Genomic DNA, 24,555 nt, shown 5'->3' with positions numbered 1-24,555 from the left:
AACAAACATTTTGGGGGAGAAGCTCTCCTTCTGTTGTAGCAGGAATGACACTCCCTCCACCCATCCACCCACCCACCACCAGTTAGTTTTGGGAGGTCTATTGTTACAACCTGCATAGCTAGAACTTTATATTTCACAGAGTTCTAAAAGAAAAGAAAGGAAAAGAGAGGGAGGGAGATAAAAGCAAGGAAAAAAGGAAGGAAGGAAGGAAGGAAGGAAGGAAGGAAGGAAGGAAGGAAGGAAGGAAGGAAAGAAAGAAGGAAGGAAGGAAGGAAAGAAGGAAGGGAGGGAGGGAGGGAAGGAGGGAAAAGATAACAGTACACGTGTGGGTCAATTGTCTATTACTTACATTCAAATAAATGGGATTAATTGGAAAAGGAAGACACTGTGCAAGTGTCAGCAGAGGTAATTTTCCACAGAACAGAGTCAGGAGGGGAGAAATGCTTGGGGGCAGGTGTCTGTGGCCACGGCCCTGACGGAAGCACTGTGTGGGCAGCGGGGTGCTCTGCTGACCAAGCCAATCCAGAGAAGAACAGGCAGCTCGTGAGCCTCTGCCAGCCAGCGGCAGCAGCAGGTAGAGACCCAGAGCCAGAGCCCCTGAAGAGTTGGCGATTATTCATCTTCATTGGTGTGTCAGCGCATTTTCAGCCGTATCCACCACAGTGATGAGCTGACTTTTCACACAGTGTAAACTTGCAGTCACATGCATACATACACTTCCCCACTCTCTATTCAAATACTGATCTCCAGAGGGGTCAAAATCATGGAATGAGGGTGTAAGAATACATTGTATTCATAGTAAATTTTTCCTGAGCTGGTGGAAGCATTCCTTTCTCATTCATCTAGTTCTCCACACATTCTAGCACCGTGTTTGTCAAAGATCCACACTACCTCAGTCGGTATAACCAAGTAATGCCTTGTATATCTTTTTCTTCATCCTTGGGCTAAGCATTACCTTATATTAAAGTTTTGAATACATTAATCCAATGGCACAATGTATGGCCAAGGATTCAGCTCCCTAGTCTTTCTCAGACGGGGATATGCATGACATAGATGAAAACTTGGACTTCGAGTGATACCAAGACAAGTTCCACCATCTGCATAAGTAACATAACAGACTGTGTTTCCAGACTGATAACTAAAATTCACCCACAAAGGTGATAGATAGGTTTATCTTGTTTCATGCTCTTGTTGAGTTAGATTTAAAATAACGGACATGGAGGAAGAAAGGGTGATGGGTGATAATTTAAAGGTTGTCACTTCTTATTAAGTGAGTGCAATGTACTCTGCAGTATGTACTATGCTAAATGTTTCAGATACATGATCTGATTTTTAAAAATTATATTTTTGTGTCAGAAACAGGTCTTGCTATGTTACCCAGGCTGGAGTGCAGTGGCTATTCATAGGCATGATTCCACTGCTGATGAGCATAGGAGTTTTGATCTGCTCCATTTCTGACCTGAGCCAGTTCGACCCTCCTTAGGCAACCTGTTGGTCTCTGACTCCTGGGAGGCCACCATATTAAACTTAGTGCAGACACCCAATCAGCATAGCACACTACAGCCCAGAACTCCTGAGTTAAAGCAATCTTCCCGCTTCAGCCTCCTGAGTAGCTAGGACTACAGGCATGCATCACAACAACCGTACTATGTACTTGTGCTTCTCCATTGCATAGAAAAGTTAAGTGACTAGTGCAACTAAGTAAGGCTGAGCTTGAGATTTAAATTCAGGTAGTCTATTTCAAGAGTCTAGGCCCTAAATCAACACATTATCTGCATCTGTGTATGTGGGCATAAATATTAGGAGATATATCTTGTAAGTTAGGAGGTGAGCAGAATCTATTTTTTTTTCTCCTTTTTTCACTCAACGAGGCCTTTCCACTGTCTTTATACTGCTCCATCCCTTCCCACCCAAGGGCACTGCTTGTGTTGCCTCCCACTTCCATTTTCATTAACTCCCAGTAGCCTGCTACCACCAGGTTAGTTCGATGATTGGCTTCTCTTTGGCATGTTGATGTTCTCAGTGAATATTCCAGCCTAGTAGTCAGCGTTTAGCCTAGTAGTCAGCGTTTGGTCTAGGAGGAGAATAAGGAGGAGAATATTCCCACACATTAAAGAACAATCCCACTGATTGATTACCTTGTACTTTAGAAAAATGTGTGGATTATAAAGGTCTTTTGAGGCTTTTGAGTACAAAAGAATAAAAATACAAAAAAAAAAATCTACACTGGGCTTTGCTGCATCCGTGTGTAGGAGGTGTTTTTAATTTTCTTTTTAAACTTTAAAATATCATTAAGTTGTAAAGCCATAGTTGACTAAATTTCAAGTGCTACCTGAGTAATCCACCACTAGAGGGAGTCTTTATAATGAGGGCCTCCCCATTTTCTTTAAAAAGCATTTTATTATCGGAAAGGCTTGCTGTTTAAACATACAGCACTTGATGATGCTAGTCAAGACTTGGCAAAGCCTAGGCCAAGCACAGTGGCTGAAGCCTGTAATGAGCTCAGGAGTTCGAGACCAGCCTGGGCAACATGGCAAAAACCCATCTCTACCAAAAATACAAAGAATTACCCAGGTATGGTGGCGTGCACCCATGGTCCCACCTACGCAGGAGGCTGAAGTGGGAGGACTGCTTGAGCCTGGGAGGCAGAAGGCAGTGAGCCAAGATCAGGCCACTGCACTCTAACCTGGGTCACAGAATGAAGACTTGGCAAAGCCTTTTAACCAGCTACTTTTAGATGCCACACAATAAAACAGCTTAAGCTGCTATCTACCCACATGTAGTTTGAAGCACTAGATGCAAACTCCTTAAATGGGCTCTGTGGATACATCTCGCCTCCCCTCGCCCACCCACTTAGCAGGTAAGAAACCAAAGCTGAGAGTTAAGAGACCTTGCTAAGAGCCACAGCATATAGCTGTGCATATAGCCACAGCATATATAGGGCCAACCTTATAGTTCTGTTCCCAAAATCTCCCAATCAGCTGCTAAGTGTGTTTTCCTCCTCAAGTAGCAGCTGCCAAAGGAGAAGTGCATAGCACCAAGGGTTCTGCCCTCCCTTAGTTTGAAAATCAAAAGTTGGAAAGTTTCGTTTTCCTTATAAGTGGTATTTACTTCACTTTACACTCTTACAAGATCCTGCAAACCCTAGCATGAAGTGTAAAACAGCAGCAGAATAATGCTCAAAGAATAAGAATAAAAATTGGGATGGAGAAGCATCTAAGGAAAGATACGTGAATAGGATGGAATTAAGAGAATGAGAATAACTAATGGGGCGTGATAGGCCTAAGACGATGATAACAGGGTGGAGCTAAGACGGTAATAACAAGCTGAGAAGCAGTTGAAAGGCACTGAAAGGAGGGTGGGTAAGATGGTTTAGCAATATAAATGGTCATGTGGAAATAAGGGCAGAGTGCATTTACCCAGCTGTGAACAGCATGATGAGAAAATATTAAGCTGAGTCATTTAAACAGTCTAATAATAATAGTAATAATAAAAATAAAATTCAGTAGAAAGAGTATAATATGGAACAGTGGTCTCCAACTGCTACATAAATGCTAAAAGCAGTTTAGCTATTTATTTTCAAAGCTAGAAACTTAATACCAAATAACCAGTGGAGGCTTAAACCATTTTTCTACTTGACACTTGTGTAACTAACACACAATTGTTCACTGGGCTGCTGTTGACCTGCTCCATCTTAATGGACTTAGGAAACTTTCATATTTAAGTGACAACTTCAGCCAAGCTGGAGAAAAGCTGACTCTGCAAGGAGACTGAGTTTTCTCAGTGTCCAGATGTATCCAGTGCCCAAAGTCCAGGTAAAATCTACTCTTTTTAAGCATAAGGCACAAGATGGTAGGCTATCAGATTTGAATATGCACATATGCCTTTCTCATTGTGGTTTTGATTTTTGTTGATTTTCATTTCTCATTGGTCTTTATTTAATCAAGCTGCTAGGAGAAACATAGAAAAGTGTGTGCTAATTATGTTACACTATCATATAATTTGGGAGTTAGCAAATAATACATCCTATCCCTACTATTCCATTCTATATTTCTGAAAAAGCCCCAGAAGAGAATTTAATCTTAGGTCTTTCATGAGATAAATGAAGGCCACCTTAAATTCTGAACTCTGTCAGTACATTCTATCTATGGTCAGTAGCTTATGTATGGGACTGTCAGATACTTTTAAGCTAAGACCTCAGTGTTCAAAAGAAAAGTACTTCTTATTATACTCAACAGGATGTATCACCAAGCAAATTTGATTGGTTGATCAAATTTCGGGTAAGAATGTATTATAAAAAGAGGGGGAATTAAGGAATAGACTAAAAATAAAATTATAACATGCTAAGAATTTATTACCTTGATGTTACTCCTATACTGGTATCAGTAATGTAAAGTAAAAACCTAAGGGAAAAGTTGAGCTAGTATTGTCCACAGTAAATTTTTCAAATGCTTGGCTAAAGCTGATGTGAACTATACGGCTTAGAGAGAGGAAAGAAGTCTGTAGCTGACACACGTTCATCTATCATGAGCTAAAGAGACGAGAACCAAGACCAAGATGTATCACCTGAATTTGATCACGATTATAAATACCCTCAACTTCAACTCTCTAAAAGATCTAAAATCTTGGTGGTGGGTTTTTTCCAGTAGGATTCTGTATGTAGGGTTATCACAATCTGATGTTGTCCTCCTATACTAGCTAAACTTTTTAAAGGCTCTGCATTTTTAATTTTGTTAATAAATTTCTTTGATAGTTTAATGTTAATAGGAAGTACAGACAAATGTTTTATGAGAGATATGATCCTGTAAGCATGGAAATTCATCTGTTGTATAATTGTTTGAATAACTAAACATGAGAAAGATACATATATATAATATTTAAAATCTCCATGATGATTACTATTTTTTCCCCTTTAGAACGTGTTTTACCCACAATCCCCCACCCCATTCAAGGTCAGTATGATTTTTATCACTGTAGCTCTCTTCCTGGGTCATTCTCCATCATCTTTAACATGCAAAACACACAAAGGGGGGAAAACACATTCAAAAAATTCACATACAATATAAATCATTTTTTTCCCTTAAACCTTTTTTAAAAAGCCAATTAGTTGCTTCCAACACCAGTTGAATAGGCATGGAACAAGACTATTATCTGACTCATCTTCAAATTGGTCAGTAGCTGTGAAGGCAATACTAAACTCAGCAAGCAATTTTTTTCTACAGTCAATATTTATTACAAGGAACTAGGAACTCACATATTTGGGACACAGCCAGTTAAATTCTCTAGCCACAAAAATACCAATTCTCTGACTGACTACCCTCACAGTTGGAAGTTTATACAGTCTGAATCTGAAGTCATTGGTATTACTTATAAAAATTAATGTATATATTGCTAAAGGTTAATCAACTCAACCGGATTATAACAAAGATGTTATTTTTTCTTAAAATCTTGGCCAATTCATGGTTTTTTTTTCTTTCCTTTTAAATGTACCTGTCTTAGAAAACATAAATGAAAAAACAAGATAATCATTCAGAATTCCTTTTCATAAACTTTCTATGCACTCAAATTAAATTTTGCCTCCTACATCGTATTTAGACGCAAGGTGCAGCCACAACTTTCTAGCTTAAGGCTATTTAAAGGGAAATTGGCAAATAAAATTAAAACAATATAAAAAATCTGAAATGAAACCAACCTACCATTGAAATTAAATTCCAGAAAAGTGATTTGCAAATAGACTCAAAGACCTGAGAAAAAAACGGAAACTAGGCCATGCGGGACCTGGCGTGGAAAAAATAAATCCAATTAAGCAAGATTATCATACACACCATAAAGGCAATGTGCTCAGAATTAAAGGTAGAAAGCTGCTGTTTTATAAGTTTGAAGATGAATCATGTTTCATTAACATTTGTCCAAACTATAAACTCTTGCAAACTTGTGTGTAGATATTCAGTGTCAATAATGCAATGTTTTGCATGTATATGCATTCACATATGCAAATATATTTTAATTATTTTCGAACTAAGGATTGCAAGGTTTCAAGGATCAACTAGACAGTTTAATAAGAGTTATTATCAAATTTTAAAAAGAGGACAAACTATTTTTAGTATGAAAGCTTAGAATAACTCTGTTGAATAGCAAAAAAAAAAAAAAAAAACTTCCCTAAAACAATGAAATCTGTTTCTAATCCCAGCCACTAAAAATAAGACTGTTAAAATGTGCCTGTTTTTTAGACTTGACATGATACTTACTGTTCATGGAAAATATCCCATTTTGAATTCCTGACATACCACAATTATTTTAACACATTTATGTTCTAGTGTTGCTGCAGAGATTGACATCACTTTATCATGTTGCCCTCTTGCAAATATATTGATATGAAAAACACACACATACGCATTTGTACCATTGGATAGCATTTTCAAAGAGGTCGTGCCCCATCTGAGATGAGCTTTGTACATTATCACTGTGACTCTAGGTATCATTTGTGAGAGCAGTTCTGCAGCCACCAACTCAAGTATTTATCTAATCGTGCATTATGATATAGGTAACTTTCAACAAAGTGAAGCCAGACACCATTCACAAAAGACAGCTGTCGGATACTGAAAAACAGTCTGGACTAGGGATGGAACACGAGGGATTTTCTTGAACTTCATATTTCCCACAAACTGAACTGTTGATTGGAGAATGACCCTAGTTTGATTTTACATTGTAGGTAGACTGTAGTTAGCTTTCTTAGATCCAATAGTTTTTAGAGAATATAGTTTATCTTATACTAATACTTTGGTCTTCGGCTAGTGGAAATTGAAAAGCTGTTCATTAAGACGGATGGCTGGCGTGAGAGTTTGCTATACAAAGATAGTCCCCTCTTAAGTTTTCTGTTCTTTACAAGGACTTTAACTTCTTAGGGATTGAATCACTTTTCTTCTCCTCTTTCCAATCGAGGTTAACCCAAGCGAAATGCAGCTTCCCATTGAAAGAAATACTAACAATAGGATGCTTAAGCATTTTTATGGTGCCAGTTAAGTACCCAAATATCTATGAGAAGCATGCCTCACTGTGGTCATAGCTATAATGCAAGGTATCTTCATTTAATTGAATATCATATATTGTCACCATCTTTATGAACTCTTAAATTTCATTCCTAAAATATCAATTGTCTCTTAGAGATTGGTTGACGTAAAATGGCCTAAAAATTTTAAGGCAATTAATTTTGTTAAGGTGTTTTGAAAGTGGGTGTTTCAAAAGTTACAAAGATTTTTTCTGCCTTCCCATTATAAAAAGGAAAACTTTCTTTCCTAATTTCCAACCTCACAAAGATGTATGTTTCATTTCAGCTGCTTTATTATTAATATCTCTCATTGGAGGATCTTCCCTCCTATCCCCACTCTACATGGCTCATCAAGATGACTGGGGATGCACAGCAGAGTCGCAGCAGGAATGTAGTCCTAACCCCTTCAAGCTGTGATTAAACAAAAACAAGCCTCAATAAATCAAATGCATTTCCCTTGGGTTTCCTTCATCATATTGCTTGATTTTCTGCAGTGATAATAATAATACTGGAATTCCACCAATGGGTAATTTATATTGGCTGTGTCCAATCAGAAATTTTCAAATATCCTTCCCCCATCTGCCAAAAACAAAACAAAATATAAAACCAGCTTGCTTTCCTCCTCCTTAGTTTAAAAGATACAAATAAAATAGTGTTCTATCCTTGATCTGTTTCTGATAGGTGTTTTCTTCCATTAATTTTAATTTAGGTTTATTTATTCTGAAGTGAGTCCTGAATTGCATAAATTTGCATAAATACCTCCTACTATATTGCTGCAGAAAATCCACTGAATTGCAAAATGAGGAAAGAGTCAGCTCTCAATGTCTGGGGGAACTTTTCTCACTTTGTGAGGTTGACATTGTTTCCTGAGGTTTCTGGGTACTGAGCAATGATAACATTTCTCCCCATCAGTTTACTTGTGCCTAGCTCTTCTTCATAATGGAAGTGCACCCAGAGACATTCTCACATTGAGGACCGTAGGTTCAGAATGAAGTGTTGAAACCAGCCTCAGAAAATTAAAAAGACGTGAAACAAGGGGCAAAGACAAGGGCAAACAACCGTTTTGTTTATGTAACTCTCAAGCGAAAAATTCCCTTGAGCGTGGGGCTCTCTGGACTCAATCAGCCTATCCCTTTCTGATCACTGCCACTTTGAAACAAAACAAAACAAATCCTGGAATGTGTCTCACTTGTTTGCCTCCCATCTGATTATTTATCCCAAGTGAACAGCCTTTCCATTCACTAACCCCGTGTGGCAAGTGGGTTTGGGAAATGTTGAGATTATCTTTCAGGTTCAGGCATGGCACCAGGTTTGTTCACAGCTGCTTGCCATTCCATCCCTGTTTTTCCATTGATAAAATGCATTGCACATGGCTGGGTTTGCATGATTAATACAGCTGTCCAAAGCTTTTTCAGAAAACAAAACAAACCCCCACTCCCAAAATTAAAGTTTAGAAAGAAATTAAAATCCAAACCACAAACAAGCGAGGCTTGCAGAAATCTGAAGTCGTCCTGGCATGTTTTCTCCCTAAGGGGGACTCATGTTCCTACAGGCAGGCCTGGCATCAGAACAGCCATATCCTATCTACAGTTAGAGGAGAGGGCGTACCTGCCCTCACCTGGCATTCCCAGTAATACATTCTTGAAATCAAATTCCAAAAGGATGAGAGGTAAAATGGGAGAAAAATTTTGAACATATCCCATGCTGTGAAGATCACTGAATAATTTCCAGTTTCATTTATTTTCTGTAGAATACCATCCTTAGTATTAAAAAGAAAAAGCTTATTTTCAGCTCCTTAATACAACAGTATTTTGCTTTGTTTAATAATGGTAATAATATTAATAATAACAACAGCTAACATACATAACGGCCTTCTCATGTACCATTAGAGTTTAAAGGGCTTTTGCCTGTATTAACTCAACTCCCAAAACCCTAAGAAAGAAACGTGCACCTTTCTCCCACACTTTTTAATGATCAAAGGACACCTACATTTCAACCTACCCCTTATTGCACCCAGGCACATATACAAATCTATAGTATATTAATAATCACCCTTGTGTATACATTCATGTTCATTAGATATGCATCTTTTCAATGGATTTTAAATGTTCATCTAATTTGTTTTATGTATTGCAATGCTTATAACACTCAGTTACTTTAACGTCTGTACATTTTTACAAAATCTATTTTCAAATATGCTTAGCACAGTGAGATGTATGCCCAACTCACACAGATTTATATGAAAGCATTCATTTTTTAAAAACTTGAGCAGAGCTATCTGGCATCGGTACATCTAATTTCACACACTTATTCAGGCTGATTTACATATACACCTCTATTAATCATGGATAATTACTTGCATTGTTCCTGTAATTCAGTTTTTCCAACTGTGAAATGGGAAAGAAATTATATTTTTCATGCCTACAAGCTCAAAGTGGTATTTTAAATAATATACAAAAGAGAGCTTCAAGTTCCTAGAAGGCATATTGAATTTAAAATAATCATATTCAGATACACATGTGTCTTATAATTTTTAAAAGCACTGATATTTGCAGGTATACTGGTATCATGTTGCATGGACATCAGCTAGATATAAGTTCAATGTATTCTTATTATATTTTGATGTATTATGGATTCTAAAGATTTCTGAAATCCCCACACTGCTGAAGTTTTAATGTAGAAGCATCCTAAGGCCAAATAAAAAATATTTTTCATTATTTTCTTACCAATATCATAATATTACATTTAAGAAGAGCTGCAAAATTGCACACAGTTCCTGGTTGTGTGGCACACACATATACACTCACACACTTTCAGCGGATGCCCTTCATACACAGTACCACATGACTGCCAACCCATCAGCCTAAAGGACCTGCCCTTTTTGCTGGTCAAGGGTATAAAGTATGTCCTAGGAAAGATTTCCCTTTTTAAATATGTCTCTCCTTCCCACTGGTTAGCAGAAACAAGGACTTTGTTACTACAAATAGAATTTAGGCAGACATGTCAGCACCAATTTACAACAAAATGATTGGCTCTGATTAATACACATGAAAATTATTGAGTTGACCTTCATACCTAATTCCCTGGCTCGTTTATGGGAACAATAGTCTGATTTCCTTCTGATTTTCTTTAGTGGTTAGAGACTCAAGCGGGATAATTGTACCAATATTTCATGTGGAATCAATGGTTCACTCATCAATCCAATGATTTTGACACAGTGTAATAGGGAGGTTTTCTCCCCATTTCTGTGTCTTATCTCCCCCACCTCTTTACTCTTCCTTCTACTCTGTTTCCTAAACTGTTGTTCTCTCCCCTGCTAAAAGTTGCTAGCAAGAATAAATCCAAAATTTATTCACACCATTATTTAAATGTTCAACAAGGGCTTGGAAGTGTTATTTCTCTCAAAATTTACATTTAGCTTCAAGCTAAATGACTAAAAATCCTACAGAGTCAATTTAAAGATAGGAGAATGTTTAGTCCTTTCTAGTGCCTAGAACTCCTTTCTAATGCCTCTTCCTGGTTTTCGAATCTGGATCTGCCTGCACCAGTCAGCCTTTCCTGGTGAGCTCCCTGTCCTTAATGCCTTGCTGTGCTATTTAGATGTCTAGAGCCAGCAGGGATTTGAAAATGAATATTTTTTTTAACAAAAATCCAAGCTTCCACTAAATTTTAATTTGATAGAAATATTGCTCTTCTATGAGCTTTATAGAAAAAAAAATTTTCAAAGTAACAGTTACATTTGGGGATTAGGTTTAAGTAATTGGCAGTCTTGTCTTTTTAATTAAAAGGAATAAAGCTGCCTAAGAGGAGCTCAATGAAATTTTGCAGCAGAAAATGTTGGCATGCTGCCCCAAAGGGTGAGAAGACCAGGATCTTGATGGACAGAAAACTGACACAGGCTCCTCTGGTCTTTAGAGTGCACGGCAGCACTGCTTGCTCTCGAGTCTGCCTCATGTGCCAGTTAACATGGGCATAGCAGTCGACTGTGAGAAACATTGTTGTGTTTAGACAGGAAGGAAGTCCTTCCTTTGGGAACTTAGTTCTGGGTTCAGAGACTGTATGGAGTGAGAGTCCTTTTTAAAAAGTGGTAGTACATAGAGGAAACAAATAAACAAACAAACAAAAAACAACAGCAAAAAAAACTCTCCCAAGTATTAAATCATCGAGATAGTACCAGCCCCTGACAAATGTCTTATGATAACCCAAAAAGTATGAACCTTAATTTTAACCTGTTCCTTGGCTCCTTTCTCTACATTTTCCACCATATTTACCAGGCATTACGTATGCATGTTCTCTTTGACATCTTTCAGACAAAACCAAAGAAAAGGTTTTGATAGTATTGACATTCACTTCTAAACACTGGTTACTAGCCATGCAAGCACCACCAAGCCCTTATCCCACCTATCTGGAGAAAGCTTTGACTTCTGAAGAGGCAAGATACAAATTAAGCTTAGTTAACAATTTCCCTTATACAGTCATTGCAGCCTCATGATATTCTTTCATCATCACAAGTTATTTGTAGGTATTAAACTAAAAAAGCACCTTGATGGGGAAAAAATCAGTATGAGAGATCCCACCTTACACCTCCCCTTGTATACTGCTGTGAAGAAACACACCTGCCAAGTAAGAACACAGCATGGCATAATGAGTTTGGAATTCCAATTTAAGGTGTTCCTATGTACTGAGATGTATGATGGGAGTAGGCAGACTACTCACTAGGACTCCACGGAGAATGTCAGCTTATATCCACCACAGATCAGTGGGGAAGAGACCTTACAAGTCATTTATCATGCTTCCTAATTGGACCCTGGGGAGCCAAGCACTGCCATAGTTTACTCTATAGTTTCGCTTATCACTGTGCTGATTGTAAAAGAAAATGCTTCCCACATCTCTGTAACACATACCTATGATTAGCACCCAGACATTACCACTGACATAGTCTCTTTACTATCAATCACAGCTAATAGTTCATTCTACTTTTTATCTGCCCCATACTCGCAATAAAGATTCTGACTTAAGCACCCACCTTCTAAACCTCGGAATCTCAGTATGACCTTTTTAACTGCCTAAAAAGCCTAAAAAGACATTTGGAGGCAATAGTAGCATCCTGTAGAAAAAAAAAAAAAAAAGCAGTAGAAAATAACCGTGCCTTGGCCAAGTGTCCATTCTGTTTACCATCCCATGCTCCTTAGCTCACACAGCAGCAAGCATTCCCAGCCATGTTTTATGTTGGAAACTTGCTTGGCCATCCTACAGTGGTTTTTCAACTATACGTGTGGGTTTTGTATGAGTTGGAAGCTGGGGATATTTGGAGAGCAGAAATAGCTAGAAACAAAACAAAGCAAACAAAATGAAACCAAGCAGTAACTTGCACTTCTCTGTTGAATTGCAAGCTAGAGTAACTTGGGAAATTTGTTTTATTTTTCTCCCTTGAAGTTCCAGAACACAGGTAAGTTTATCGCTGACAGCTGTTAAGTGCAGCAGTGCTTAAAAAAAAAAAAAAAAAAAAGACGGAATGATCCCATTAATTGGAGGCTGGTCTTCCGTTGGGAGATCAACCTTCCCATTCTAACTCGTAAATAGTATGATTTTTTTTCTGTATTTAGATGTACTCTCCACTTGCTCTTGCCTTTGCTTTGTAGAGTTTCTTTTAGAGGTCACGTTTTCTTTTCATTATGATTTCTAATCATTAGGAACACAAGAAAGAGGTTACATTCTTGATAGGCAGTTAAAAACTCATTTTTTGGCACAGGTTAAGTTAATTTGACATGCACAATATCTTGACGACACCATTCATTTACTCAAAGAAATATCTTAGTATTTGCTCTGAGCCGGGTTTTGGGGATGACAAAGGAGAATGAAGCAGGTACAGCCTCTGCACTAAGAGGGTTTACAGACCAAATGGAGAAGTACTTAATGAACTAAGCAACCACAGTAAACTTTAAGTCCATGTGAAGATAACTGGTAGGTGTTTGGGGAGAACAAACCAGGGCACATTAGCTAGTCTGGGCTAATGGGGGAAGACTTCCAGGTGAAAGTGAAGTTTAAAAGACAGAAACAGGCCAGGCGTGGTGGCTCATGCCTGTAATCCCAGCACTTTGGGAGGCTGAATCACAAGTTCAGGAGGTTGAGACCATCCTGGCTAACACGGTGAAACCCCGTCTCTACTAAAAAATACAAAAAATTAGCCGGGCGTGGTGGCAGGTGCCTGTAGTCCCAGCTACTCAGGAGGCTGAGGCAAGAGAATGATGTGAACCCAGGAGGCAGAGCTTGCAGTGAGCCAAGATTGCGCCACTGCACTCCAGCCTGGGTGACAGATCGAGACTCTGTCTCAAATAAAAATAAAAATAAAAATAAAAATAAAAGACAGAAAGAGAAGAAGCAGGGGAAGAGAACGACAACCCACTACCTGCAAAGGTCTAGAATCCAGAAAGAACTTAACTCACAGGGATCCACTATAAAGCCTAATAAATTTTTTAAATCTAGAAAAATAATATTTTTTACGTAAGAGTTTATCCTGTCTTGCATCTGGCCTGTTTACAAAAAGAAATAAACATGATAAACCAGTGGAGTTAAAGGTGAGGAATTTCTATAATTTACAACAATGTATGTACATTTCAGAATAGCTAGAATACTTCAAAGATTTCTACATTTCTAGCATAAAGAAAATATAAATATTTAAAGTGATGGATATCCCAATTACCCTCATTTGATCTTTATACCTTATACGAATACATCAAGTTTAAAAAATAAAGATAATTTCTAGAAAAATAAAAATAAAGGTTAGAGATTGGGCATTTTCACCTATATTACACTCAGGACCAGGAAAAGCACTTGTGGGCTTAATTGTATGGTCACACATGGATATTATGTACTGTGTGGTAGGTATTAGTATTTAGGTTTAGCTTTCTGGAGGATACTGACAGCCTGTTATTTAGCAGAATGTCTAGAGAAAACTTGCAGCTTTTCAGTAAGGAGGTTTGATGGTAGGTTTTTATTTTAGTTGTAGAAATAGGTTGTAAGGAGCCATCAGTATTTTCAGAGAGTTGCACAAGGACCTGGCTATAATGTTATATTTGGAGTCACTGACATAGCAGGAGTTATAGATAAACCAAACTTGTTATTGAAGCATTCTGGAACTCCAAAGAATAATGTTGCTGGAAGTAGTCCAAAGCAGAACTACATTTACCAAGTTCTGCACTGCGGTAGTTAGTGCAATAGAGGTAGGTCCAAGGGTGACTCAGAGCATACCAACATTTTTTAATCCCTTATCTCCTTATTTCCAGGAGCTTTAAAAACCCTGGGAAATCTCACAAATTCACTTGTTATCTTTGCATTCAAATTCTGCAGGCCAGTTACCTCGTTTCATGTTATTTGAATGGTTTTGATTTTAAAACATACAAAATGAAAAGGCATATTACGTAGATTAAAGATGGTCTTGCATGCCTTAGGATTTTAAATTTAAAATGTATTCAAAAATAGATCAGAAATTCACAATTTGGGGCTGGAAAATAGAAAGTGAGGGGTAAGACCAGAAAGAATGTAAATCTCTGGAGACCTATCCAAACCTGCATTTTTAATCTTTCTTACCAAGTCAGATAAATGAAAGTACAAAAGGCTTTAGAGTATACATAAAATTTATGTTTTTAAACACAAATATGACATATATAATCTATTTTATGTTTTAACAACTAAGAAGAATCAACAACTAAGTAGATTTAGGTCCGGAAGCTAGTTCTTTTTTTTTTTTTTTTTTAAGACGGAGTCTCGCCCTGTCACCCAGGCTGGAGTGCAATGACTCAACGGTGCAATCTCTGCTCACTGCAACCTCCGCCTCCTGGGTTCCAGCGATTCTCCTGCCTCAGCCTCCCGAGTAGCTGGGATTACAGGTGCATGCCACCACACCCGGCTAATTTTTTGTATCTTTAGTAGAGATGGGGTTTCACCATGTTGGCCAGGCTGGTCTCAAACTCCTGACCTCGTGATCTGCACGTCTTGGCCTCCCAAAGTGCTGGGATTACTGGGATTACAGGCATGAGTCACAGCAACTGGCCTGGAATATAGTTCTTTATTAAATGAGTTGGCTGGTCTCTTAATTACAACAAAGGTCAAAGGGCCAGTTTGCACCCATAGACAAGGGCCAAGGTGCATTTTAGGCACAAGGGCAGAGAAACCTGTTTCTTCTTTAAGACAGAAACTGCATGTCTAGTCCTGAGTACCTTACTGACAGCTGATCCAAATAAATTTACTTCTGGGATTTATCTAATCTTACACATATTTTCAGGTGGCATAGCCCAGAGAAACCCCTTTATTAAACTTAGCCTCTTTGGCATTCTGGAACATTTCAATTCATTGATTATTAAAAACTAAACCTCTCAGGCTAAATAAGAAACTCTCAAAATGTAAGAAAGCTGACTTGGTGCAAGAGACTTAAGAAAGCATTCTCTTTATGTTGAGAGTGTTTAGTGAGACTGCTCTTTCTGTAACAATCCGTATCACCATTGAGCAAAGCCCATAATGGTTAAAGTCAAATCATGCACCTATACTTACTTTATACGACAATACCCAGTACATCAAGCCTCTGGTCAGTAGGACCTCATCAACCTGTATGATAACATTTTTTATTGCATTGCTGTTAAGACCATGTTGCTTTGGAAATTAGGATTCACCCATCTTAGCTTCTCTTTTGCTTTACTACATGGTATCTCCCAGCTGAAAAATGGAGAAAAAATTTATTCTCCTTGTAATGTTGTCAAACTAATGCCAATGCCAAATAATCAGAAAATGATTATTTCCTTTTCTCCACATTTAAAGGTTTTTTTTAAAAAAATGCATTGATTTGTTTTTACAAATAGTTTTCTATTCTGATAATAAATGTTATGCATTCTCATTATGGAAGAATTTGAAAAATATGAAACTATAAAGAAGAAAATAAAGCTCCTGTGTAATCCCTCTCCTTAGAGATAACACCATTAATGCAATATAAACAAATGTTTTGTCTGAATGTTTGAGCTGCCAGTGTACTACAGAATGTTCAAGTTAAAAACATAAAATGTCTTCTATTTTTCCATGCTCTCAGAAGCTGGGCATGTTTCTGTTATTCGTTCAAGGTTATAGCAGAGGCAGGCCCAGGAGCTGCCCTCCTACCTGGGCCAGGGTGCTCTCCACAGTGATGTGCACACCCAAAGTGCTTTCAGGTCTTAGTCAAATATTGACTCACAAGGGATTTCCCTCATGCACCTCCAGGATCCCCAGTAAGAGTCCTCCTTTCAGATGTGGGGGCTCATATGTTCTCTCTCCAAGTTGGCGCATTAATATTTTTCCTTTAATAGATGTGTTCTTTTTAATCCAATGACAATTTAAGCATTTTTTCACATTCTATTCACTATAGAATATTTGATATAAGGAGTGAGGCCCAAATATTTTATTCACGTTTTTCAACAAGAAATTATACCAGCATTATTTTAGTTTGGTTTCATTCATTCATTCAACAAGGAATTAACACCATCTGTCTAGGGCTGCAGTATTCTGGTACTGTCTACTCATGCCTATGTCATTATTTACTCTGACAGAGCACCAAACTGAAGTCCATTTCTAGTCACAGACAACTATAAAGAAGAAAAGCCTTTAGCGGTATTTGAAAGTAAAGTGTAGCATTCCTTGCTGGCCCAAATCTAGCTAAGGGAGGCCAACTTCCTTTCTCAAATATTGATGACATGCTAAGATTGCTTAGTTTTCTCAGCTGGTTTGATGTATACTCTTAGTCATGAGGGCAATGGTCCACCTATTAACTAAGAAAATAGGAAGGCCGGGGGCAGTGGCTCACACCTGTAATCCCAGCTCTTTGGGAGGCCAAGGCGGGCAGATCACCTGAGGTTGGGAGTTTGAGACCAGCCTGACCAACATGGAGAAACTCCATCTCTACTAAAAATACAAAATTAGCTAAGCATGGTGGTATATGCCTGTAATCCCAGCTACTCGGGAGGCTGAGGCAGGATAATTGCTTGAACTTGGGAGATGGAGGTTGTGGTGGGCCGAGATCGGGCCATTGCACTCCAGCCTGGGCAAAAAGAGCGAAACTCTGTCAAAAAAAAAAAAAAAAAGAAGGAAAGAAAGAGAGAAAGAAGAAAGAAAGAAAAGAAAAAAATATAGGAAGAATCTCAAGATTGAGATTCAAATCCATTTCTCTATTTTGACTCTTTTCTTACTTCACTAGCCCCAGAATGAGTACTTTGATTCTCAGAAAACATTATTCTAGAAATATTTGACATTGAGGTTTATACAACATGAATATCATACATGGGAGAATATCAAAAGCTCTAATAATTCAAATATGAATCACAAGGCAAATACTTTTCTATGGCAAAAGAAAAAAATAATATTTACAAGTACAAGCTGCTAATCCCTAAAGCCTCTGAGTGAAGAAATCTGTGAGAAAGAAGTTAATAGCTTTCAAAGTGTGGCTTGAAAATTGAATTAATAAAAATTGCTCCCTTTTAAGCCACTATAATTATAAAGGTTTTATTTTTCAAAAATTTGGCCAATAAATAAATAAACAGAAGTCAGAGGGCAAAACCCATAAATTTCCATGGCAGAATCTTACAAATGTTATGCCTCAGGTCCTTGGCATCAGTGAGGAAGCAGCAGCAGGTATGATCTCCTCCTCTGTTTCTTTTATTACATTTCTTAATAATTTTAACCCTGCCCCTTTCTGCAATTTTCAGGAACTGGAGGATAAAATCCCTACTGAATTTGGACCTTTTCCTGTCCCACTTCTGCAAACACACACTCTTACTAACTCTGGCCCAGAATTTTAAAAGTGCCATTAATTATTCTTATGTCATTTTCAAAACCTGCAGCACATCAGAGGGTTAGCCTTATAGAAAGACTTATGTCACACACATAGAGATAATGTTTTCTTTTTCAAATGGCTGCAGCAGGTTGAAAAATAAGACATTTGTTTTCAAGTAAATACCCTAGAATTAGAACAACTGTGCAAACAATATAAACTCCCCAAACTCTACGTTACCTACATGTGAATGCAAATGAACTCTTATAAGTAGAGGATTAGAGAAAAGTTGTCAAAAGTCAAGACTGAAAGCACTAAACGTCAATTCTTTTCCTTATGAATGTGTTGTACCCTCACTTCATCTCCCAGATATAACTCAAAGAAAGCAAAATGCCAAAATTTTCCACACATAAAGATATGAAGATTTCCTAAGATAATGAGGGAGTTCCCAAACTATAAACTGTAGAGTTTCCAATGGAGCATCTTTCATCTTTGCAACACTCACTTGAATTTTTTCAGAGATGTGGATGGAGGGAGGGGGAGAGAGAGAGACAGAGAAAGAGAAAAAAATCACATCACGTAGTGAGAGATAAGAGCAAGAGATCATAGTAAAGGGTAAGAAGAAGAATAAATCTTCAAAAGAAACTTGGGCTTTTATTTGTTAAAGTTCACATTTTTATTAGTCAGGAAGGTGTTTTAAAATAAAGCTCAGCCCTCCAGAAAATGTTCTACCTGCCAGGATTTGGGAAATAAGGCAAGGACCTCCTGGCCCCATTGGCTCTTCAAATAACTGTGAATTCCCAAGAATAATCTCACCTTAGGTTCAGGCACCGTGGTTCTAAAAAGAAAATAGAATCTCCCCTCTCTAGAATCTTATCTAGGGTAACACTTGAGGTATTAATTGATTCATTCAGTCTCTCATTTTCTTATTTATTTATGCATTCAGGTATTTCTTCAGCATATCTACTGGACCATTCTTCTGTGCTAGAGAAATACCAAGCTGAGGATAGAGTAGTGAACAAGGCAGATGTATTGTCTATGCCAATAAGAGAGGTTGAATCAATGTTTTTAATGGTGCAGGCTAATGTGGCTGGGTGTAATGAATCTGAAAGTCAAAAATCAAGGACAGATTAGCTTAAATAAATGTCTCGAGGCACTTGCCTTTCCTAATATTAAATCATTTCCCCATTGTCTCCTTCTACCACCTCATCAGGAGCTAAGATCTAAGCATGTGATGGTAAGGTTCTCCAGAAAGCCTAGTACATTCTCTATACTAGAATCTCCCAGTGTTGTGTTTTGCATTGCTTCAGTCGATTTACCTTTCTCTATTATACCTTGTACCTTCACTGCCATACTTATTTGTTAAGTGTATTTGCTGAAGCAAGATTAATATTTAGTTAGAAGTCTTCCTGAAAGGCATAAAAATCATAGGTTCCAGGTTGTGTTCTAAGCACGGTGCCCTGGAAATCTCTGCAAAAATTATATCCCTGGCAATGCAGTTCGATTCACGAACATGAGATTGCATTTTCACTAGAAAAGTAAAAATAATGTTTAGGTGTTAAATGCAAAAAAAAATTCTGTCTATAACAACAGAAAATCCCCTCTTAAAGAGTACTATTTCATGCCTGGCCTGACACTGGAAAAAAAAAAAAAAGTGTTTATTTCTCCCACTATTGCCACCTCGTGGACAAAGGTGATTCATCTGCACAGCACGTAGGAGCATGTCTTAGTATTACCACAAGATGGCAACACATAACCACATTTTCAAAAATGTGCTCAGAATGTTCTGCTCCTACAGAAGGTGATGGGTAGGAAATAAGAGTCCAAAATAAGAATTCCATTCTCTTTTCCTAAAGAAAAATGGAATCCCAACTGTTAAGATCTTTAGGATTTCACAAAGAAGTTGATTTATTACAGGCATAGGGAGGAGTACTTAACATTTAACTGGCAACCTGTTTTGCTTTTTAAAGATATTTCAAGCAAATGTATATTTCATATCTGAATTTTTCTGATATTAGCTTCACAGAGTAGAATATTTGGGAATTTTTTATATGCTTCTTGTAATCAACTTTCTCTAGTTGATTCATAGGGGAGCATCTGTTTCCTAAGAGATCCATTAGAATCCATTAGAACATGTAGATTCTTACCCACACCTATGCCAGTGACAGGTTAACGCAGGCACATTGCTAGACTTTCCCTGATCAAAATATGCCCTAATCAATCCGCTTTCCTGTCACTTTTTTTTTTTTGGACAGAGTCTCACTCTGTCGCCAGGCTGGAGAGCAGTGGTGCAATCTCACTGCAATCTCCACCCTCCAGGTTCAAGCGATTCTCCTGCCTCCGCCTCCCAAGTAGCTGAGATTACAGACACGTACCACCACACCCAGCTAATTTTGTTGTATTTTTAGTAGAGACGGGGTTTCACTGTGTTGGTCGAACTCCTGACTTCGTGATCTGCCCACCTCGGCCTCCCAAAGTGCTGGGATTACAGGCGTGAGCCACTGAGCCGGGCCACTTTTGTTTTTTTGAGATGGAGTCTCGCTCTGTTGCCCAGGCTGGAGTGCAAGGGCCTGATCTCGGCTCACTGCAACCTCCGCCTCCCGGGTTCAAGTGATTCTCCTGCCTCAGCTTCCCGAGTAGCTGGGATTACAGGCACGTGCCACCACGCTGGGCTAATTTAGTAGAGATGGGGTTTCACCATGCTGGCCAGGCTGGCCTCAAACTCCCGACCTCAGGTGATCCACCTTCCTCAGCCTCCCAAAGTGCTGGGATTACAGGTGTGAGCCGCGCCCAGCCTCCAATCACTTTTTTTGTGCTAGAATCTCCCATTGTTTGTTCATCATGTTGCTGCAGTTATATATATATATATATATATATATATATATAAAAGTACAACTTTCCTTCTTTCTTATATATATATATAATTTATTATATATATATATAAATTCTTTGGACTTGCAATGCCATGACTTACTTGTTAAGATGTATTTTTCTCTCTCCACTAAAATTGCACTAATAATCCTGTCTAGAAGGGATTTTACCACAAAACTGACAACTTTCATTTATTGAGCATTTATTATGTGTCTGGCACCATTGTAAGTATAGTATGTTGATTAATTGATCTAATTCATAGCACAAATTTATAAGATGCATGTAAGTAAACTCATTTTAGAGATGATGAAACTGACGCAAAGAGAGGTGAAGAGAAAGCTTTCAGCAGAATCACCAGGCTTCCTACCTGTCTGGATTTCTGAACAATTGCTTGAAATCATTCCCACGAAGCCTGTGTACCATAAACTTAGTGTTTTTTAACTGAAGATGGCCTCATCGAGGATTGAGGCCTCTTTTAGGAAAGAGCATCGCTCTGTGGCCTTAAGGGGTTCTTAAAAATTCTTACCATAATAAGCTAAGAGGCTTGATGCAAGAAAGAGGAAAGTTGCACTTTGCACAAGAGTCGTACCTTTCCAGCCAGTATTGAATCATTTAAATATCCCAGTGATACCTCTTGAGTCATACAGGCATTGCTTTCATAAAAACTGCCAAAGGGGTATTGTGGAATAATGGACTAGGTTCTGTCTAGAGAAGTGGGAGCCCTAAATTTCAGTCTCAGCTTTGCCTCTCACTTCGCAAATGACCTCTCTGGGCCTCAGTTTCCTCATGTTTTCATGAACATATTCTCCACACTGCCTTTCAATATTTTTTAATGCAATATGTTGATCCTAAAGAAAAGATGTCAAAGCTCGTATTATGAAAGGAAACAAGTGGCAGTATGTTTAATACACAACTTAAAACATCAGTGGTTAGATGATGAGACATATACAGAAAGTCGTCAACAGCTAGAGACCATTGTTTTATATATTAATAGAACCTGGATTCACTTCCAGGGTGAGTGCTGGCTTCTGCTAGGAGGGGAGAATTCTTACTCCATCTTTTTGTATGAACTTGCAGCATGTTGCATTTGTTAAATAGAAATAACTGCAAGTGATGGGCTTCAAGGACAAAAAGACAGGTTCTGTATTCCAACAGCAGTTTGGGCTCTTCTATCTGAGCACCTGCTAAGTTGTTCCTGAGCTTCAAAGTGGTGTCCTATAGAAGTTTTACATATTTGCTTCTAAAGACCTAAGAGCATTGTGGTTTACTTGACAAAGGTACTTAAAAGAGAAACCAAATATTTAACCTACCTGAGCTCTTCCGACCCTGAGACTTATTTATAAATTAAACAAATATTTATTGAATATCCACTACCTGCCAAGCTCTAATCTAAGCACTAGGGATACAGTATTTGAGAAGGCACACACTGTTGCTGCCCTCGTGGAGCATATAGTCTAATGAAGAGGACGAAACTATAAATAGGCAAAAAGTATATGCATAACAGGATGTCAAGTTAGAGGTAAGTGCTATTTAGATTAGTAAAGCAGGGTAAAGGAATAGAGAAAATAACAGAAGATGCTATTTTTAACAAGATGATGAGAGGAGTCCCTTTCGAGTTGTTGTCATTTCAGCAGAAATCTGAATGAAGTGACTAAGTGATCAATACAAAGATCTAGGGGAAGAATATTCCAAGCAAATGAAAAGCAAGCGTGAAGGTTTTAAGTTGGAATAGACTTGATCTGTTGGAAGAAGAGCAGGACAGCCAGTTGGCTTGAGTGGAATAAACCAGGGCAAAATGGTAGGACGAGGTTATGGATCGGACACATTCTATTATTCCACTAAATTGCGGTCAAGAGTACCTTTACATTCCATACTCAGAGTTCTTGAACTTGTCTACATGCATACAATGTAGCATCAGGTATTTGAAGTTGCAAATCATTTTTGCCACCTCCAACTGCACATCATTTGTTCCAACAAAACAATCTCTTTCCATTTGCCTTTCTTTCCATCTCTACCAATATTCTTTCCTATTAAAATGTTCTTTCCTCCTTTTCTCTTATTCGCCTTTCAGTGGAGAATATCAGATTACCTTTGTGTTTCTTCTTAATTGATAAAGATTTTTTATTTGTTTTTGTTTTGCTTAATGTTTCTTATTTTAGAAATTGGTACCACCGTGCACTTCAAGCAAAAAGGTATGGTTCTTATTTTTGGTTACCTTCCATATGTCAAAATTAAGATTTCACAGCAATATATTGTTGTCTTATATACTTGAGTTTCAGTGGAATAATTTGTGATAACAATTTCCATAACACATCTAGCACTGTTTTTTCCAAATTGTGAACTTTTTCATTTACAAAAAGTTCCTGATCAAACCCATGACCCTTATATTGCTCTTGACAGTAATTTATTTTTAAATCCCTGGAACACAGCAAGTTATGCTTTGCGCTGCTCCCTGTTCCTACTTTCCCTTTCTTAAGTATTCATGGTTCATTCTGACAGAGCTGCAATTTTGGAAATGCTCACTGCCCAGTGACAGGGCTCTCAGAAAAGATGCAGAGCCTATTTTACATTCACTTGTTGGCTTCATAAAACAGACCCTAAAATGCAAGTAGTTACTAATTCTGAGGTGCTGTCTTTACAAGTCCAATAAATGCTAGTCCCTAACAGTGTCTAACCCCAGACCAGAGCCACAGAGGTACCTATGTGGCCAGACCCCACCCTCTTTACTTCCTGATGGTCATCTACATGATTATAATTGTCTCATATGAAGGCATCTTCCTCTCTGAGTCTCAGAGGGGTGAGACAACCAAGATCACTCTCAACTGTGGAAATCTATTCTTGCGGAACTTACATCCCACCAGTGATCAAGAGCCACAGAGATTATGGACACTTTGTTGCTTACTCCCAAGAAAGGGCCAGCACCGTATTTATGGCCAGTGCTAGAAGGTCCTCACTGAAGGCAACAGGGAAGAGGCAGCCATGAATATATACTTGGAAACAGGATCATTTGAGGCCTTCAAGAAGGCATAAAATATTGTCCCTTTCAGCCTTTCTTTTCTTCTCAATGCCACGATTACCAATTATGTTTTAATCTTAAGTGGCTAGTGTTATATGTGATACATTATGGCTTTGATATGTGGTTGAAAAAATAAGGCATAGCATTGTTTTTTATTTCAAAGACAAAATAAACTGCCAGTGTCACCAGAAGTTCTACGTATTGGACTAAAATTTTAAAAACTTGTATGCCAAAATACTTGCTGCTGTGTTGATGAAACAGATGTGATGATTCTGACTTTAATGTGAGAATATTACCAAAATCTCGCTTTATAGAGAGTAGAGAAAATGCATAAAGTGCTAAAGAAAATGTAGGAAGAGCTCACATTCAATTGATTTTAAGACCCATTACTCAAAGAAAACATCGATGTAGTAGTTCCCACTTATCCTCAGGGGATATGGCCCCAGGACCCCAGTGGATGCCTGAAACTGCAGATAGTACAGAACCCTACCTATATACGCTATATTTTTTCATATACATACGTATGATGAAGTTTAATTTATAAATTAGGCCCCGTAAGAGATTAACTACAATAATAATAAAACAATTCTAACAAAATACTGTAATAAAAGTTATGTGAATGTTATCTTTCTCTTTCTCTCTCTCTCTCTGAACATCTTATTGTACTGTATGTACCTCAGGTAAGTGAAACGGCAGAAAACAAAGCCACTGATAAGGGGGGACTACCGTATTTCCCCTCCTCTAATTTGCTCCAGCCTGAGCTTTAATCCCCAGTTCATTCACCCAGAGGAAGCTGTACTGGCAGAAAATGGACAGCAGGTGGCGCCAAAG

General features: G+C 38.1%; 1 protein-coding gene, 1 long non-coding RNA gene and 1 pseudogene across 8 annotated transcripts in view, besides 1 other annotated feature; 1 reads left to right on the top strand and 2 right to left on the bottom strand.

The window, feature by feature from the left end:
* The window catches only part of LOC124906269 (uncharacterized), a 277,601-nt gene that overhangs the window by 229,188 nt on the left and 23,858 nt on the right, over positions 1-24,555 (bottom strand). The gene's annotated exons all lie outside the window — the stretch shown is intronic.
* LSAMP (limbic system associated membrane protein) overlaps positions 1-24,555 on the top strand; it is a 643,114-nt gene that overhangs the window by 605,974 nt on the left and 12,585 nt on the right. For 4 of the 7 annotated variants that reach the window (NM_001318915.2, XM_024453520.2, XM_024453522.2 and 1 more), the window contains 2 exons: positions 4,917-4,952; positions 22,868-22,900. The exons of 1 other annotated variant lie outside the window; for it this stretch is intronic. In NM_001318915.2, coding sequence (NP_001305844.1) covers positions 4,917-4,952; positions 22,868-22,900 — 69 coding nt within the window. Of the gene's footprint in view, positions 1-4,916; positions 4,953-7,960; positions 9,098-22,867; positions 22,901-24,555 lie in introns of those variants that run through there. 2 more of the 7 variants (XM_011512840.4, XM_017006383.3) reach the window with 2 other exon arrangements.
* On the bottom strand, positions 1,355-1,644 carry RN7SL815P (RNA, 7SL, cytoplasmic 815, pseudogene; annotated as a pseudogene).
* Positions 19,409-19,528: an enhancer, noted in NCBI's record as "active region_20285". NCBI's record gives its function as "activates an Ori minimal core promoter by ATAC-STARR-seq in GM12878 lymphoblastoid cells {active_cell/tissue: GM12878}" and the evidence as "EXISTENCE:reporter gene assay evidence [ECO:0000049][PMID:35858748]".

The sequence above is a fragment of the Homo sapiens genome, chromosome 3, assembly GCF_000001405.40.
Source record: "Homo sapiens chromosome 3, GRCh38.p14 Primary Assembly".
Classification (NCBI taxonomy): domain Eukaryota; kingdom Metazoa; phylum Chordata; class Mammalia; order Primates; family Hominidae; genus Homo; species Homo sapiens.
The sequence above is the reverse complement of the archived record's forward strand: the minus strand, read 5'-3'. Positions and strand labels throughout refer to the sequence as shown.